This window comes from Homo sapiens, chromosome 12 (assembly GCF_000001405.40).
Source record: "Homo sapiens chromosome 12, GRCh38.p14 Primary Assembly".
Classification (NCBI taxonomy): domain Eukaryota; kingdom Metazoa; phylum Chordata; class Mammalia; order Primates; family Hominidae; genus Homo; species Homo sapiens.
The window spans coordinates 123,194,336-123,210,900 of record NC_000012.12 but is presented as its reverse complement, the minus strand read 5'-3'; the positions used below and the strand labels follow the sequence as shown (position 1 = coordinate 123,210,900).

General features: G+C 42.5%; 1 protein-coding gene across 25 annotated transcripts in view; it reads left to right on the top strand.

Annotated features, from left to right (window-relative positions):
• Positions 1-16,565, top strand: part of MPHOSPH9 (M-phase phosphoprotein 9) — a 91,679-nt gene that overhangs the window by 33,102 nt on the left and 42,012 nt on the right. For 16 of the 25 annotated variants that reach the window (XM_017018673.2, XM_047428058.1, XM_017018677.2 and 13 more), the window contains 6 exons: positions 739-845; positions 7,526-7,651; positions 7,817-8,277; positions 8,582-8,737; positions 12,567-12,654; positions 16,300-16,515. In XM_017018673.2, the coding sequence (XP_016874162.1) occupies positions 739-845; positions 7,526-7,651; positions 7,817-8,277; positions 8,582-8,737; positions 12,567-12,654; positions 16,300-16,515 (1,154 nt within the window). Of the gene's footprint in view, positions 1-738; positions 846-7,525; positions 7,788-7,816; positions 8,278-8,581; positions 8,738-12,566; positions 12,655-16,299; positions 16,516-16,565 lie in introns of all 25 variants that reach the window. The other 9 variants (XM_047428065.1, XM_047428067.1, XM_047428064.1 and 6 more) reach the window with 4 other exon arrangements.

The following is a 16,565-nucleotide window of genomic DNA, read 5'->3' as shown; positions in this document are numbered from 1 at the left end:
GAATTGCTTGAACTCGGGAGGCGGAGGTTGCAATGAGCCGAGATCACTCCACTGCATTCCATCTTGGGCAACAGAGCGAGACTCTGTCTCAAAAAAAGAGACCACAGTGGACTGAGATGGCACCACTGCACTCCTGGGTGACAAAGTGAGACCCTGTCTCAAAAAATAAAAAAATTTATTTTATTATTATTATTTTAATTTTTTTTTGAGACTCTGTCACTCACTCTATCACTCAGGCTGGAGTGCAGTGGCACCATCTCAGCTCACTACAACCTCTGTCTCCTGGGTTCAAGCGATTCTCATGCCTCAGCCTCCCAAGTAGCTGGTATTACAGTGTGTGCCACCACACCTGGCTGATTTTTGGATTTTTAGTAGAGATGGGGCTTCACCACGTTGGCCAGGCTGGTCTCAAACTCCTGACGTTAGGTAATCCTCCTGCCTCAGCTTCCCAAAGGGCTGGGATTACAGGCGTGAGCTACCATGCCTGGCCAAAAATATGTATTTTAAATTGTACCAACTCATCTTGACTTTTTATATTTCAGTTTTAAACATTTGCATCCAGTTAGGACTCTTACATAATAAGGAATTTAGATAACTTTTTTCCATCAAAATTCAAATTACTTTAACCCAAAATTAATTTCTTCCCATATTTAATTTCCTTTAGGTAGAAATGTTATTCTAGAAAGCATTTTTGTTTTTTTCTCACTCTTTTCTATTCTGTGTGTTTGTGCACATCAGGATTGACTTACTGGAAACTAGAGGAAAAGGATATGCACCACTCTTTGCCTGAAACTTTAGAGAAGACGTTCATATCATTGTCTTCCACAGATGTGTCACCAAACCAGGTAATTTAAAAACACACGGTGGCCGGGCGCGGTGGCTTACGCCTGTAATCCCAGCGCTTTGGGAGGCCGAGGTGGGCGGATCATGAGGTCAGGAGATCAAGACCATCCTGGCTAACACGGTGAAACCCCGTCTCTACTAAAAATACAAAAAATTAGCTGGGCGTGGTGGCGGGCGCCTGTAGTCCCAGCTACTCGGGAGGCTGAGGCAAGAGAATGGTGTGAACTCAGGAGGCAGAGCTTATAGTGAGGGGAGATTGCGCCACTGCACTCCAGCCTGGGTGACAGAGCAAGACTCCATCTCAAAAAAAAAAAAAAAAACAACAAAACAAAACACACACACCGTGGACTGGGCGTGGTGGCCTGTAATCCTGTAATCTCGGCACTTTGGGAAGCTGAAGTGGGCAGACCATCTGAGGTAAGGAGTTCGAGACCAGCCTGGCTAACATGGTGAAACCCCGTTTCTACTAAAAATACAAAAAAATTAACCAGACTTGGTGGCGTGTGCCTGTTCATCCCAGCTATTTGGGAGGCTGAGGCAGGAGAATCACTTGAACCTGGGAGGTGGAGGTTGCACTGAACCGAGATTGTGCCATTGCACTCCAGCTTGGGCAACGAGAGTGCAACTCCATCTCAAAGAAAAAAAAAACTGTGTGTGTTTGTGTTTTACAATTGTTGCTAAGTACTCCAGTATAAATTTTATTTTTCAACTTCTAAAATACTGGAAAAAGCATGGGCTTTAGAATCATACTCACTTGTTTTCAAATTCAGTCTGTCATTTTTGCCTTATGTAATCTTAGCAATGCTTCTTAAAAGTGGAATTAAAGGCTGGGTGCTGTGGCTCAAGCCTGTAATCCCAGCACTTTGGTAGGCCAAGGTGGGCAGATCACCTGAGGTTGGGAGTTCAAGACCAGCCTGGCCAACATGGTAAAACCCCATCTCTACTAAAAACCCAAAAATTAGCTGGGCGTGGTGGCATGCACTTGTAATCCCAGCTGCTCAGGTGGCTGAGGCAGGAGAATCACTTGAACCCAGGAGGTGGAGATTGCAGTGAGCCAAGATGGTGCCACTGCACTCCAGCCTGGGTGACAGAGCGAGACTCCGCCTCAGCAAAAACAACAACAGAAAAAAGTGGAATTAAAAATTCCACTTTTAAAAAATTCTGGCTGGCTTGAGCTGGGCATCATAGTTTACACCTGTAATCCTTGTACTTTGGGAGGCTGAGGTGAGAGGATCACTTGAGCCCGGGAGGTCACACCATTGCACTCTAGCCTGTGTGACAGAGTGAGACCCTGTCTCAAAAAGGGAAAAAAAAAATGCTGGTTAGTGTTTTGTGAAATTAAATGGATTGTGCCTACTATTTCATATGTAGTAGGTCCTCAGCTATTAATTTCTTCCCCTTTTCCCAGAATTGGTGTTGATTTTTCATTTGTTACACCTCCATTCATTTTCATTTGTTATGCGATCCATTTCCACCATAGTTATGAGCAACTTAATTTGCTGTATTCTTTTTTTTTTTTTTTTTGAGACAGTTTCACTCTGTCGCCAGGTTGGAGTGCAGTGGTGCGATCTTGGCTCACTGCAACCTCTGCCTCCCGGGTTCAAGTGATTATCCTGCCTCAGCCTCCCGAGTAGCTGGGTCTACAGGCACATGCCACCACGCCCAGCTAATTTTTGTATTTTTAGTAGAGACGGGGTTTCACCATGTTGGTCAGGATGGTCTCGATCTCTTGACCTCGTGATTTGCTTGCCTTGGCCTCCCAAGTGCTGGAATTACAGGCATGCACCACTGCGCCCGGCCAATTTGCTGGATTTTCTTTGAGTAAGAAAGGTACATTTAAAAAAAAAATTTTTTTTTTTTTTTTTTTTTGAGACGGAGTCTCAGTCTGTCACTTAGGCTGGAGTGCAGTGGTTCCAGGTTCAAGTGATTCTCCTGCCTCAGCCTCCTGAGTAGCTGGGATTATGGGCATGCGCCACCATGCCTGGCTAATTTTTGTATTTTTAGTAGAGAGGGAGTTTCGTGATGTTGGCCAGGCTGGTGATCCACCCACATCAGCCTCCCAGAGTGCTGGGAATACAGGCGTGAGCCACTGCGCTGGCCCATTTTTTTTAAATTTAAGAGCAAAGAAATAAAACTATTCAGTAAATGTACATCAATGTACCTATTTCACCTCTGTATTTTTTTTTTTCTTTTTTTTTTTTCTTTGAGGCGGAGTCTCGCTCTGTTGCCCAGGCTGGAGTGCAGTGGCGTGATCTCAGCTCACTGCAATCTCTGCCTCCCAGGTTCAAATGATTCTCCCACCTCAACCTTCCAAGTAGCTGGGATTACAGGCACCTGCCATCATGCCCAGCTATGTTTTGTATTTGTGTAGAGACAGGGTTTCACCATGTTGGCCAGGCTGCTCTCGAACTCCTGACCTCAGGTGATCCGCCCGCCTTGGCCTCCCAAAGTGCTGGAATTACAGGCATGAGCTAGTGCACCCGGCCTTCATTTCTGTATTTTGATCAGGTAATGAAAGAGTACCTGGGGAAAAGGAGAGATACTATTAAAGTAACCAAGAGACATAAAAATGAATGACATATACAGACAGACAGATGGGGCAATGTACTTGTAAGCATCAGAGTCTCAGTGACGGAAACCAATGTTCCGTACTTCATGAAAGGAACAAAAAGACACAGGTCAACACAGAGAAATGAAGTATGAGGGGGGTAAGATTGTAGGGGGCAAGGCAGGCTTAGTAGGCTTTGCAATTGCAGGGCTCACAGTGTTATCTGATCTTGAACATCAGTAAGTGGATACTGCATTTTGTTGACTCTACGGTATTGTCAACTTTAAGGTTTCCCATTTCATGTTCTACCAAGAAAAATTTATAAATTAGACTGATACAATGCTTTTTTTTTTTTTTTTTTTTAACCACTTTAGAATTTATATTTTATTCTTATGGAAAGAGTCTTTAGACTTAAACATAGGTTTTATTATGTATCAGTAACTTTTTTTTTTTTTTATTAGAGAGAGGATTTTTGCTGTGTTGCCTAGGCTGGTCTCAAACTCCTGGGCTCAAGTGATTCCCCTGCTTTGGTCTCCCACAGTGCTGGGATTACAGCTGTGAGTCACTGTGCCTGGCCTATTATATAACTTTTTTTTTGAGACGGAGTCTTGCTCTGTTGCCAGGCTGGAGTGCAGTGGTGTGATCTCGGCTCACTGCAACCTCCATCTCCTGGGTTCAAGCGATTCTCCTGCTTCAGCCTCCTGAGTAGCTAGGACTACAGGCATGCACTACCATACCCAGCTAATTTTTTTGTGTTTTTAGTAGAGACGAGGTTCCACCATGTTGGCCAAGATGGTCTCGATCTCCTGACCTTGTGACCCACCTGCCTCAGCCTCCCAAAGTGCTGGGATTACAGGTGTGAGCCACTGTGCCTGGCTTATTATATAACTCTTATGCATACTTTAAAAAGGAAAACATAAGTGAAATAAAAGTGGCTAAAATTCTTTCCTTCTCAGAGTGTTATACTCTTCTCTTCTCATCTCTTCTCTTCTCTTCTCCTCTCCTCTCCTCTCTTCTCTTCTCCTCTTCCTCTCTTTCTCTCTTTCTTTCTTCACGGTCTCACTCTGTTGCCGAGGCTGGAGTATAGCAGCTTCATCATAGATAACTGCAGACTCAACCTCCTGGGCTCAGGCGATCCTCTTGCCTCAGCCTCCTGAGTAGCTGGGACTACAGTCATGTGCAACCACACCTGGCTCATTTTTTTTTTGTTTGTTTGTTTTTAGTAGAGGCAAGGTCTCTCTATGTTGCCCAAGCTGGTCTCTCAAACTCCTGGACTCAAGCAATCCTCCTGCCTCAGCCTCCCAAAGTGCTGGGATTACAAATGTGAACCACTATGCCTGGCCATTTCTCTCTCTTCACCTTGGTGTTAGTTTCTGTGTTTTCCCACGTTATCTTCCTCTAGCCCACCAAGAGCATCAGCGATTCTGCATTTCTTTAAAAAGAATAGAAAGGCCTTTCTGCTTTTTACCTGTCTTAGTAGCATGTAGGACTAGCCCGCTTTGGACTCCCATGTGGAGTATGTTGCTAAACGTGTCTGATTCACCGTTCTCTTAAATATTGGTCCTCAGGAGCTTCATTGTAGTGTGTAGGTTTGTCTTCCAAGCTGCTGATACCTATTTGGCCAATTTTGAGCTCATGAGCAGGGAATGACAGTCTGTCACAACCACAACTTGGCCCAAAGCAATAGCAATTATAAAATGCCATTAATTACAAGAGGCATCCCTACTTTAGAGATGTTAACATGACAAGAACATAAAAGTGGTGAAAAGTGGTACTTTTCTATTCCCATGAGCTTTGAGTAGAATAACCCCAACTATTCCCCCAGACCACCAGGCTGTGGCCATAGCTGGAGTAATGCTACTCTTCACAGGCTTCAGGTCTTGAAAAGGCTTCTTTAGGTTATTGGCATGTAAAGAATGAATTCTACAGCAGGATTATGGGAATTGTGGTACTTTTTTTTTTTTGAGGCAGAGTCTCGCTCTGTTTCACAGGCTGGAATGCAGTGGTGCGATCTCAGCTCACTGCATCCTCCGCCTCCTGGGTTCAAGCAGTTCTCCTGCTTCAGCCTCCCAAGTAGCTGGGATTACAGGCACGCACCACCACACCCGGCTAATTTTTGTGTTTTTAGTAGAGATGGGGTTTCACCATATTGGCCAGGCCGGTGTCGAACTTCTGACCTCAAGTGATCCACCCGCCTTGGCCTCCCAAAGTGTTGGGATTACAGGCGTGAGCCACCACAGTATATTTTAAAGGTTTAGATTTAACAAATTAATGCCTTTAATGCACACACTCACAAGGTTTTAAAAATACATATTCATGGTGCTCTGCAGCCTACGTAGGGTCTAGAAATGGGACACAAATTTAAAGCTACATGATTAATGTGTTCTTTCAGTGTTTTCAGTGTATCTATTGTTGAATCTGTAATCTCATTTGTGACAGTGTTCACAGTTTAAATTTGAGGCCCAAGGTTAATTGGTTCTCCTCTCACACCCTATAATACGTCCCACCTTGAAATAATTTAAGCCCAAAGTTTTAGTGTTTAGAGCCTAGACCTCTCTGCAACATTTTTAGTGTAGTGAGGTCCTGATTTCAATTTTTCGAAATTAGGGTCCTATCTTCTGTTTTTTGAGACAGAGTTTTGCTCTGTCGCCCAGGCTAGAGTGAAGGAGTACAGTGGCATGATCCCAACTCACTGCAACCTCTGCCTCCTGGGTTCAAGTGATCGTCCCACTTCAGTCTCCTGCGTTGCTGGGATTACAGGCCTGCGCCACCACTCCCAGCTAATTTTTGTATTTTTAGTAGAGACAGGGTTTCACCATATTAGCCAGGCTGGTCTCGAACTCCCGACCTCAGGCGATCCGCCTGCCTTGGCCTCCCAAAGCGCTGGGATTACAGGTGTAAGCCACCGTGTCCAGCCTAGGGTCATATCTTCTTATTTTACTAATGAATAAAGGGACTTATTTTCACTTGATCTTAGCCAAAAGGCTGAGAAGTGATGGGTGGGGGGGACTTATTTTCATTGGGTCACTTTGTGACACCTAGTTTTGTTTGGCCAACTCTTTTAACAAACATGATTGTAACTACATAGATAAGGAACTCCAGCTCTTGGTGCTTTTTCTTCAGCCATATGAAATTAATTTGGCCGAAAGTTTTCTCATCCTTCTATCATTCATTCTGAAGTATCTTGTTTTCTTTTTTTTTTTTTTTGAGACGGAGTTTCGCTCTTGTTGCGCAGGCTAAAGTGCAATGGCGCAATCTCGGCTCACCACAACCTCCGCCTTCCAGGTTCAAGCGATTCTCCTGCCTCAGCTTCCCTTGTAGCTGGGATTACAGGCATGCGCCACCATGCCTGGCTAATTTTGTATTTTTAGTAGAGACAGGGTTTCTCCATGTTGGCTAGGCTGGTCTCAAACTCTCGACTTCAAGTGATCACTCACCTTGGCCTCCCGAAGTGCTGGGATTATAGGCATGAGCCACTGCGCCTAGCCTATGAAGTATTTTCTTACCTCAAAACTTGGCTATTGGCTAGGCGTGGTGGCTCATGCCTGTAATCCCAGCACTTTGGGAAGCTAAGGTGGGAGGATTGCTTGAGCTCAGGAGTTTGAGACTAGCCTGGGCAACATGGTGAGACCCTGTCTCTACAAAAAAAAATAGAAAAATTAGCTGGGCGTGGTCTTGCACTCGTGTAGTCCCAGCAACTTGGGAGGTTGAGGCAGGAAGATCACTTTAGCCTGGGAGATTGAGGCTGCAGTGAACCATGATCACACCACTGCACTCCAGCCTGGGCAACAGGGTGAGACCTTGTCTCAAAGAAACCCAGAAAACTTGGTTCTTATTTTGAGTGGGAGAACTACTAAGAATTTCATTATTTGGAAGTATTCATAGGCTGCTAAATAATTAATGTTCACATTATCCCCTTAGTGTCCTAAATTGTTAGGAGATCCAAACATCTTTCCATTCTGAGGTAGACTCATCATACTAGGTAATGACTTCCAAGCTTGTATTACAAATCTGACAGTCTACATTTTCAATTTGCTTAAAGTCTTTCAAAAATCTTTTTATGGTGCTTATTTTGATATCATTAATTTGTTTCATTATTGATAACACCATTTAATTTTGTTTCGTATCTTTAAGTCTAATACTAGTAATGAGATGAAGCTACCGTCACTGAAGGATATTTATTATAAAAAACAAAGGGAAAACAAGCAGTTACCTGAGAGGAATCTCACTTCTGCTTCCAACCCAAATCATCCACCAGAGGTAAAGTTGTCCACATTCTGCCGAGTGAACGTGAACAATGCTTCCTGACTCTAACTTTTACCTCAAGCTTCATTTTCCCTAGGAGATCTAAAGCCTACTCACTTCAAAACAAGCAAAACAAAGCCGAGTTCTGAGGGTAAGACTTCGTTGTTGTCTGGTTTCCAGGTCCTGACTCTAGATCCTACGTTACACATGAAGCCAAAGCAGCAGATTTCAGGGATTCAACCTCACGGCCTTCCGAATGCCCTTGATGACAGAATATCCTTTTCCCCGGACTCTGTTCTAGAGCCTAGTATGTCTAGTCCCTCTGACATAGACTCATTTTCACAAGCAAGTAATGTCACTTCTCAGTTACCTGGATTTCCAAAATATCCCTCACACACAAAAGCTTCTCCGGTGGACTCTTGGAAAAATCAGACATTCCAAAACGAAAGTAGGACCAGTTCCACGTTTCCGTCAGTATATACCATTACTAGTAATGATATCTCGGTCAACACTGTAGATGAAGAAAACACTGTCATGGTTGCTTCGGCCTCAGTCAGTCAGTCCCAGCTTCCAGGTACAGCCAACAGTGTCCCAGAATGCATTTCATTGACTTCCTTGGAAGATCCTGTGATATTGTCTAAGTATGTATTTCAGTGAATGGCTTGTAATGTTAATAGATTTTCTGTGATATCTGATTGAAAATGATCTTTATTGAACTTCAGTATTGCATAAAGTCTTAGAGATTTAGCATTTTTAAGATGGAGCATATAAAAACTTTTTCACTTGATTGTTAACTTTTTGTGTATTAATCTATATATTTTGTAGTATGCAAAGGAAATATGCTATATTTTTGCCCATGAGAATCATTGTGTTCTTGGTTTCTCTTGTGGGATGGAGACTGAAGATAGCTTTCCTAATATATATTTTTTATTCTCACTGAATAAGGATTAGGCAGAATCTGAAGGAAAAGCATGCTCGACACATAGCAGATCTTCGAGCTTATTATGAATCAGAAATAAATAGTTTGAAACAGAAGCTGGAGGCAAAAGAAATCTCTGGAGTTGAAGATTGGAAGATAACCAATCAAATTCTTGTAGACAGGTAAAATTTATAATTTAGCTGTGAAGTTTTCTCCACCTTGGATGTATTATTTTCACAGAAGTATAATGTGAGAAAACACTTTGAAAATACTTTGGATCTGAAATTTTAACAGTCATGTTTGCCTAAGTATTTTTGAAGCTAAACCCCCCTCTTATAATACACTAATAACTGACGTGGAGCCATTTGTTTCACATGGGCAAAATACTGAAACAGTTGAGCGAATTTTGTATATGCAGAGTAATGTCATTGATGGGAGGAGCAGTACTATGGACTTTCTAATAAGTCTATGGCTTATGTCCTGTGGCAGTTCTTCACCTTTTTAATAGGCCCATTCCAAAAAAACCCACAAAGATATGCAGGGGAGAATGGCCTTATATTCAGGATAGCTTCATACCTATTTTAGAATCACTTAGAAAATCTGATGCTTTCACTACTAGTATTAGTAGTAGAGTCCTTGCAACATACTTTACCATTAAACGGGACTTGATCAGGCATGGTGGCTCACGTCTGTAACCCAGCACTTTGGGAGGCTGTGGCAGGCAGATCTCTTGAGCTCAGGAGTTCAAGACCAGCCTGGGCAACATAGTGGAACCCTGTCTCTACAAAAAATTAAAACGTTAGTTGGGCATGGTGGCGTGTACCTGTGGTCCCACTTACTGGGGAGGCTGAGGTGAGAGGATTGCTTGAGCTCAGGAGGTCGAGGCTGCAGTGAACTAAGGTTGTACCACTGCACTCCAGCCTGGGTGACAGAGCGACACCCTGTCTCTAAATAAATAAATAGGACTTAAATAGATTGAAAATCGATGCAGGTCTAGCTGATAGCAAGGCATTCTCTAAGGAGAAAAGACAAAGCTCACTTCAAAGAGCTTAGGAGGGAACTAAAATCTTCCGTCTGGTTAACAGTTTAACTTTCAAAAAAACAAAACAAAACAGTTTAACTTTCAAAGTTATGGGAAAACTAGCCTTTATACTGTAAGTAGTTTTGGTTGCTGTGGTAGTTAACATGGCTGTCTTATTGAATGTTTCTACAGCTTTCATTTTGCATTTAGTAGTGTGGGGGTACAATGGTAGGGAAAAGTAATTTGAAAAAGAGCCAAACCAAAAGAAAAGAGACAGGTTTAGGTTTTTTACGACACAAACAGTAGATAGCAGGTTATGGGAAGTTGGTTTTTTTATTATTGTTTTTGTTTAGAAGGCAAAGATGAGGCTGAGTGTGGTGGCTCACACCTGTAATCCCAGCAGTTTGGGAGGCCGAGGCAGGCAGATCACTAGAGGTTAGGAGTTCAAGACCAGCCTAGACAACATATTGAAACTCTGTCTCTACTAAATATACAAAAAGCAGCTGGATGTGGTGGTGCGCACCTGTAGTCCCAGATACTCGGGAGGCTGAGGCAGGAGAATCACTTGAACCCGAGAGGCAGAGGTTACAGTGAGCCGAAATTGTGTCACTGCACTCCTGCACTCCAGCCTGGGCGACAGAGTGAGACTCAGTTTCAAAAAAAAAAAAAAAAATGCAAAGATGACTGTAGTTACTTCCTGTAGGAAAACAAGTATGAAAGAAGCCCGCCAGTGAACTTTTGAAGATTAAAAACAGTCCTAAAGAAGGTACCTAGAATAAATTATAGCCAGTCAAAACATTTTTATGACTAGAAGATGTTTGAGCGTGTAGGGCAATGAGCAAATATAGGTGGAGCAAATTGGAAGCCAGGGTTTTAAGTAAATGGCTGTATTATAGCAGTTAATAACAGTGGCAGGCTTGGTTACTGGAGTAGATGTAATCACTGTGTAAAATGAATAGCAGTACATTATTTTCTCCTCTTCCCAAAAAAGATTTGATCTGGCTTATGGTTAAAAAAAAAAAAAGCTGTGTTACAGAGGACAGTAGAAACAAAATACGTGGCAGTCATTTAGAACTGGAGAAATGATTTCCCCCAAGATAAAAAACCATTGTTATCAGTGTATACACTGGTTTTTTCCAAACTTAAAATTGCAAATTGGAGAATCCCCCTGGTGTTACAAATGGAGCCATTAGCCAGCTGTGATATCAGATTACTATGTCACGGATTTAGAACTTGGGACAGTGATCCTCTGGCACATTAGAATCCATAGTACTGAAAAAAGTCAAATACAATTAACACACACTTGATTATTTGAGTGATTTTTTTTCAAGAATAGTCTCATCAGTATTTCATGTCTGTGCCGCATTAATGCACAGTGGTTAGGATCATGAACTAGGAGTGCCCAGCTTATGTTCCCAGTGTGACTGCTTACAATCTGTGTGACTTTCAGTGAGGAACTGAACTGTCTTTGTTTTCTCAACTGTAAAATGGGATCAATGATAATCTTTTTTTCTTTCTTTCTTTTTTTTTTTTTTTGAGATGGAGTCTCTGTCGCCTAGGCTGGAGTACAGTGGTGCTGTCTCGGCTCACTGCAAGCTCCGCCTCCCAGGTTCATGCCATTCTCCTGCCTCAGCCTCCCGAGTAGCTGGGACTACAGGCGCCCGCCACCATGCCCGGCTAATTTTTTGTATTTTAGTAGAGACGGGGTTTCACCGTATTATCCAGGATGGTTTAGCCAGGATGGTCTCGATCTCCTGACCTTGTGATCCACCGGCCTCGGCCTCTCAAAGTGCTGGGATTACAGGCGTGAGCCACCATGCCTGGCTGGGACCAATGATAGTCTTAATGGACAGAATTGTGAGGATAAACGAAACGTGCTTAAAGACCTGGTGTATAGTCAGTGCTAAATAAATAAAGCTTTTATTATTCATACTATGTTAAACACCGAGTCAAGATGGTAACTGAATTCTTCTATGTATTTTGTTATTTTGAGGATCTGTGATAATTAACTTTACAAAGGAAGTTAATTATAAGAATAGTTATATTCGTGCTAAATTCGAAATAGTACAGAAGGTCATAATATGAAAAGTAAATTGGATCGCATGAGTCCAGGAGTTTGAGACCAGCCTGGGCAACAAAGTGAGATCCCATCTCTACAAAAAATCAAATTAGCTGTGTGTGGTGGTGCATACTCAGGAGGTTGAGGCAGGAGGGTTGCTTGATCCCAGAAGGTTAAGTCTGCAGTGAACCGTGATTGCACCACTGTACTTCAACCTGGGTTATGGAGTGAGATCCTGTCTCAAAAAAAGAAAGAAAAAAGTAAATCTCCCTACCCCAACCTCTAGTCCCAAATCCCAAATCCAAATTTAATTTTTTGCATTTTTCCAGAAATCATAATGCATATATATAGATACAGATTTTTTTCAAGCTAAGATCAAGCTATTTTATGCATGTCTTTTTTTTATATCTTTTAAAAAAATTATTTTAGGCTTTTTTTTTTTTTTTTTTTTTTTTTGAGACAGGTTCTCACTCTGTCACTCAGGCTGGAGTGCAGTGTTGTGATCTCAGCCCGCTGCAACCTCAGCCTCCCAGGTTCAAGCCACCCTCCCACCTCAGCCTCCTGAGTAGCTGGGACTACAGGCACATGCCACCATGCCCAGCTAATTTTTGTATTTTTAGTAGAGATAGGGTTTCACCATGTTGGCCAGGCTGATCTTGAACTCCTGGCCTCAAGTGATCTGCCTGCCTCAGCCTCCCAAAGTGTTAGTATTACAGGTGTGAGCCACTGTGCCTGGCCAATTTTAGCCTTTTCTCTACATACTATATTATTAGATTCATTGGGCTATATTCTATTAAAATGGCATCCTGAGTCTTAGTTAACACTGGAGAATTTGTCTTATGTTATATATTAGAGAATTGGTTAGATTTATGTAATACTTTTAAGGGTAATAATTTTATCTTCTAATTGAAGCTAAATTTATGGTTTTTAGATGTGGCCAATTAGATAGTGCTTTGCATGAAGCTACTAGTCGCGTGAGAACACTTGAAAATAAGAATAACTTACTGGAAATTGAAGTGGTAAGTACTCTTTTTTTGGTGGGTGTTCTGGTGAGACAAATGAATTATTTCGTGATAACATCAGTTATGTTTCTTGTCTTTTTAAGGAAGGCTTATGAAGTTTATATTTTTAGTGCTGTTGGCTTCATATAATGCTATAAACTTTACCCTTTTTTTTTTTTTTGAGACGGAGTCTCGCTCTGTTGCCCAGGCTGGAGTGCAGTGGCGCGGTCTTGGCTCACTGCAAGCTCCGCCTCCCGGGTTCACGCCATTCTCCTGCCTCAGCCTCCTGAGTAGCTGGGACTACAGGCGCCCTCCACCACGCCCAGCTAATTTTTTGTATTTTTTAGTAGAGACGGGGTTTCACCGTGTTAGCCAGGATGGTCTCGATCTCCTGACCTTGTGATCCTCCTGCCTCGGCCTCCCAAAGTGCTGGGATTACAGGCGTGAGCCACTGCACCCTTTTTTTTTTTTTTTCTTTTTTTTGAGATGGAGTCTCGCTCTGTCGCCCAGGCTGTAGTGCAGTTGCGCGATCTCAGCTCACTGCAACCTTCGCCTCCCAGGTTCAGGCGATTCTCCTGCCTCAGCCTCCCTAGTAGCTGGGACTACAGGTGCATGCCACCGTGCCCAGCTAATTTTTGTGTTTTTACTAGAGATGGGGTTTCACCATGGGGGTCAGGCTGGTTTGTAATGCCTGACCTCGTGATCCACCCACCTCGGCCTCCCAGAGTGCCGGGATTACAGGTGTGAGCCACCGCACCTGGCCTAAACTTTACCCTTTTAAAACTTACCTTTTGGCCAGGTGTGGTGGCTCATGTCAGTAATCCTAGCACTTTGGGAGGCTGAGGTGGGAGAGTTGCTTGAGCCCAGGAGTTCGAGACCAGCCTGGGTAACATACAGAGACCTCTGTCTCTACAAATTAGCTGGGCATGGTGGTGCACAGCTGTGGTCCCAGCTACTCGGGAGACTGAGGCAGGAGGATGACTTGATCCCAGGAAGTTGAGGCTGCAGGGATCATGATTGCGCCACAGCACTGTAGCCTGGGCAAGAGAGCATGACCCTGTCTCAAAAAAAAATTTTTTTTTAATTTTTTGCAATATAATTTGCATACCATAAAACTTACCCTTTTAAAGTGTACAATTCCATGAATTTTAGTATATTTAGAGTTGGGCAACCACCACCACAATCAATTTTAGGACATTTTCCTCAAAAAAAAAAAAAAAAAAAAAAAAAAAACCCACACCCCTTAACCGTCACCCCCCACATTCTGTCCTTCCACACCCTGGCAACCACTACTCAGTTTTCTTTCTCTGTGCATTTGCCTTTTCTGAACATTGATATAAATGAAATCCTAGACTGTGTGGCCTTTCGTGTCTGGCTTCTTCACTTAGTATAATATTTTCAAGGTTTATCCATGTTGTAACATATCAGTATTCATTCCTGTTTATGGCTGAATATATTTCATTCTGTGAATAATACCACATTTTTGTTTACATTCATCAGGTAATGTTTATATACTTTCTGGCTATTTAAATTATATTGCTATGAATGTTTGTCTACAAGATTTTATGTGCCACGTAAGTTTTTAGTTTCCTTGGGTATATAACTAAAAGTGCATAAACTTTTTATGCTAAAATTACTTTTTTCCCCACGCATTACCAAATTTTATTTTTTTACAGGTAACTTTTTTTCTTTCTGAACAAAGACCTTTGTTATGTCATTCCCAATCTTTTGGTATAAGGCAATCTTTTTAAGGGTCAAAAGTTTCTCAAAGTCTGTGTTTACAAGTTTTATTTTTAATATCTATTAGACGATAAAATGCATGATAGCTATCATAGAGTAGTGTGTATATGTATGAGATACATATGGCCTTATGAACAAAATTTTGGTGGAAACTGTCTATTTTGTTTTTTTGTTGAGATGGAGTCTCGCCCTTGTTGCCCAGGCTGGAGTGCAATGGTGCGATCTTGGCTCACTGCAACCTCCATCTCCCTGGTTCAAGGGATTCTCCTGCCTCAGCCTCCTGAATAGCTGGGATTACAGGTGCCCACCACCAAGCCCGGCTAATTTTTGTATTTTTAGTAGAGATGGGATTTCACTATGTTGGCCAGGCTGGTCTCGAACTCCTGACCTCAGGTGATCTGCCCGCTTCGGCCTCCCAAAGTGCTGGGGTTACTGGCACCCAGCGTATTTTGTTTTATATGTTGTTTTCATCTTTGCCTTTTTTTTTTTTGAGACAGGGTCTCACTCCATCGCCCAGGCTAGAGTGCTGTGGAGCCGTCATGGCTTACTGCAGTCTCAACCTCTTGGGCTGAAGTGCTCCTCCCATCTCAGCCTCCTGAGTAGTTGAGACTATAGGCACACACCACCACACCCAGCTGATTTTTAAAATTTTTTGTTGAGACACGCTATGTCGCCCAGGCTGGTCTTAAACTCCTGGGCTCTAGCAGTCCTCCCAAAGTGCTGGGATTTCCGCTGTGAGCCACAGTGCCTGGCCTGTTTGCTTTTTTAGTTCCTCTCCTCCTAAGCTTCATGACATTCGGGACTATTATCTTTTTTGTTAATCTTACATTTCTAGCACCCTAGTGCCTAGCACCTAGTGGGTATTCCAGAAATGATTGTTGAGTGAATATTAACATATCAGATGGGTTTTTAATTTCCTGTATTTTCTTTTTTTTTTTTGAGACAGAGTCTCACTCTGTCACCAGGGCTGGAGTGCAGTGGCATGATCTCGGCTCGTTGCCACCTCCGCCTCCTGGGTTCAAGTGATTCTCCTGCCTCAGCCTCCTGAGTAGCTGGGATTACAGGCGCCTGCCATTAAGCCCAGCTAATTTTTTGTATTTTTAGTAGAGACGGGGTTTCACCATGTTGGCCAGGCTGCTCTTGAACTCCTGACCTCGTGATTCACCTGCCTCGGCCTCCCAAAGTGCTGGGATTACAGGCGTGAGCTACTGTGCCTGGCCAACTGAATTTCCTGTATTTTCATAGTGAGAGGGTATGAAATGTTTTTCTCCTCCCTAAATGTTGATGTTGGGCAACAAAGTCCAGCTATACTTTCAAATAATTTCCCTAATAGCAGTGGTTATTTTTTCCTTATTAAAGTGAACTGTAGGAGCTATTAGGTGAGTCCTAGAGTCATAGTGCCACAGATGATAGTTTCCTGTATACCTTATGATAATGTCAGGGGCTGGTATTCCAGTAGAACTATTCTTTCTGGACTCTCCATCCCAGAATACAACAAAATAGATTTGTTCATTTCCATTTCTATGTTTTGTTCATTTTTTAATGCCCACAATTTATTAGCTATTATTAAGGCATCTTTTTTTTTCATTTAAAATAAATTTTGGGCTGGGCGTGGTAGCTCATGCCTGTAATCCCAGCACTTTGGGAGGCCGAGGCCTGTGGATTACTTGAGGTCAGGAGTTTGAGACCAGCCTGGCCAACATAGTGAAACCCTGTCTCTACTAAAAATACAAAAAATTAGCCAGGGGTGATGGTGGGCGCCTGTAATCGCAGCTCTCGGGAGGCTGAGGCAGGAGAATTGCTTGAACCTGGGAGGCAGAGGTTGCAGTAGGCCAAGATTGCGCCATTGTACTCCAGCTTGGGCAACAGAGCGAGACTCCATCTCAAAAAAAAAAAAAAATTATGTTTGTCTTTGTTTTATAGAATGATTTGAGAGAACGCTTCAGTGCAGCCAGCAGTGCTTCCAAAATTTTGCAGGAACGAATTGAAGAAATGAGAACAAGCAGTAAAGAAAAAGACAATACCATCATTCGACTAAAATCTAGACTGCAAGATTTAGAAGAAGCATTTGAGAATGCTTACAAACTCTCAGATGATAAAGAAGCTCAACTAAAACAAGAGAACAAAATGTTTCAAGATGTAAGTAGCGAATAATAGTAACTTAATGACGTGATTGGCTAAAAGTAATT